This window comes from Homo sapiens, chromosome 6 (assembly GCF_000001405.40).
Source record: "Homo sapiens chromosome 6, GRCh38.p14 Primary Assembly".
NCBI lineage: Eukaryota > Metazoa > Chordata > Mammalia > Primates > Hominidae > Homo > Homo sapiens.
Window position 1 is genome coordinate 105,738,910 of NC_000006.12, and position 2,733 is coordinate 105,741,642.

At 41.3% G+C, this 2,733-nt stretch overlaps 1 annotated feature.

The window, feature by feature from the left end:
• Positions 2,125-2,419: an enhancer, noted in NCBI's record as "tiled region #12173; K562 Activating DNase matched - State 5:Enh". NCBI's record gives its function as "activates a minimal TATA promoter and a strong SV40 promoter by Sharpr-MPRA in K562 cells {active_cell/tissue: K562}" and the evidence as "EXISTENCE:reporter gene assay evidence [ECO:0000049][PMID:27701403]".

A 2,733-nucleotide genomic window follows, 5' to 3' on the forward strand; every position in this document is an offset into this window, starting at 1 on the left:
CTCACTGCAACCTCTGCCTCCTGGGTTCAAGCAATTCTCCTGCCTCAGCCTCCCCAGTAGCTGGGACTACAGGCACGTGCCACCACACCCGGCTAATTTTTGGCATTTTAGTAGGGACAGGGTTTCACCATGTTGCCCAGGCTGGCCTCGAACTCCTGAGCTCAGGCAATCCACCACCTCGGCCTCCCAAAGTGCTAGGTTTACAGGCGTGAGCCACCATGCCTGGCCCCTAATATTCTCTTTTTGATGCAAGAGCTATAACTTAAAGGGGAATGGTAGATGGTTATAAGAACAGGGTAGGCCAGGTGCGGTGGCTCACACCTTTAATCCCAACACTTTGGGAGGCTGAGGTGGGTGGATCGCCTGAGGTCAGGAGTTTGAGACCAGCCTGACCAACATGGTGAAACCCCGTCTCTACTAAAATACAAAATTAGCCGGGCGTGATGGCACGTGCCTGTAATCCCAGCTACTTGGGAGACTGAGGCAGGAGAATCACTTGAACCTGGGAGGCGGAGGCTGCAGTGAGCAGAGATCATGCCATTGTAGTCTAGTCTGGGCGACAGAGTGAGGCTCCACCTCAAAAAAAAAAAAAAAAAAAAAGAACAGGGTATAGACATCTGAGATTTCCATAGGAAAACTTTTTATGAGCCCCAGGCACTCCCAAAGTAACAACTCCCATGAGCCTCACTCCCAAAGGTAACAACTTGACCTTATATCCAGTCTGTTGAGCCTGGCATTTTAATATATTAATCTCTTTGTAAAATATCTCTAAAGACCATTCGTTCTGAAACGTTTGCAACTTCATGACTGTATGTAATATACTTATTTTTGCAAGTGAGGGTCATGCAGCAGTATATTAAAAAGTAATAAGCTCTCAAAAGCTTCAAATTTATTAAGCAAAGTAATTAAATTTGTTTTAGAATATGGCCAATCCCATTGTCACTGAATTAGGGGATATTATATCAGTGTAAATGTTGGGGCTGGGGATTCTCCCTGTGGCTGTGTTACTGCTATACTACTAGATCCCAGTGGTTTTTAGATGGTCATGGTTAATGAGTCACTTTGCAAAACTATACACTCTAATATCGTTGGTCAAATTGATTCTATTCTCTGACTGAAATGATGCATCCACTGTCTTTATTGTGGGGGTCCATGCAGAGTGTCACGATGAGCACTGTCTACTTGTTTCCCAATATCAGTATTTTAGGGTAAGAGGGAAGAGGGACAACATTAATTTATTAAGGACAACTGAAAGCACCTGCTTTTGATGAAGACTTTCAAGAAATATTCCACAATTAGCTGTAAGAAAAGTTCTAAAAATAAATCTATTTATCTTTGTCCTCCCTCTGAATGCAGCCTCACACTCACCAAGAAAACATTTCTGCTCTTTGTAAAGTCAACCCTGTATTTTATGGTTCCTTCTATTTTGTTTTAAAATTGTTGTCTGTTTTGAATCACAAAACCAAAGACTTAGCTGCTTCTTTTGTCATTATGTTAGCTTTCTTCCAAATTCTGACCCCATTTTTTATTTTGTTAAGCAGAATGGCTATACTAGCAAGCATTTGGAAGAATACCCTAAAAGAAATAAAAGGGAATATGCATCAATATTCAGGAAGACAACTGACTTAATAACCAAAATTTATCTTCAAATCGCTCCAGGTTCAATGATGATTTAATATACAATCATATTATATTTTTATTTATTAAAGAAACAAATCCATTCTCATCTGATATAAACCTGGGTTTTCAGATTGACACTGAACCTACAAATCAGATACATTCAGCAAGTACAATGCCTGTGATGGCTCCAAGCATCAAGGTCATTTGTACTAACTCTTGCATAATTATGCCCCATCATGGGGTGTATTAGGTCTTAATTCTTACCTCGTGCTTATCATTAGAAGAGACAAGCTTCCATCATTCTGTCTCCTCCTAAGTAGAAATAAAAGACTCAGGTGTGGAGGCCAATAAGGAGATTTCCCTCTAAGAAACAGTGAGGTTCTTGCCTGAGGCAAGATGTTTGAAATGTACCACATAAAACTCCTCTTTCTGTTCCCAAATAGGCTTCATATGCCAGTGAAGATGGAAATGGAGCACTGTTAAAATTAAAGACAGTTTTGCCTTTCAACACAACAGATGAGGAGCTGACTCATCCCAAACACCCTAATCAGTGTCTCTTTCTCTCTCTCTCTCTCTCTCTCTCTCAGAAAACCTGGCTTTGAGATGGATTTTCCATGGTGAGAGTTGCAGAACTGAGCCCGGGAGCTACAACTCATCATGGCTTCTGCAGTTCCACAGATAGATGTGTGGACTAGAGATAAGACATGAGAACCCTAAGGAGGTGAAAATAACAACAAGAGCAAACCAAACTGGGACAACTCCAGCAGATCAAGGCCATGCTATTATGACAGTTAGATTTAGATCCATGATGCCACTACGGGAAATCTGCAGTCTGAGTGTCGCCCAGACCCGTGAAGTCTCCTGGGGCAATGCTCAGAATAGGGCCTTTATTCCCTGGTGCGTGCAGTGTCGTTTGTGAAAGCTCCGCCCACAAAGCCATCAGATGGTAACAATTTTCAGTCACTTCCAACTTGAGTTGGTTTTGAACTTTAATATGCAACCTAATTATGACTGCAAACACTTTGTTAAGCAAACAAACTTCAAACCCTTTTTAAAAAACAGCTCTTCTCTGGTCATTTCATCTTGTACAAAGGCTTTAAAAATAAAACTGTG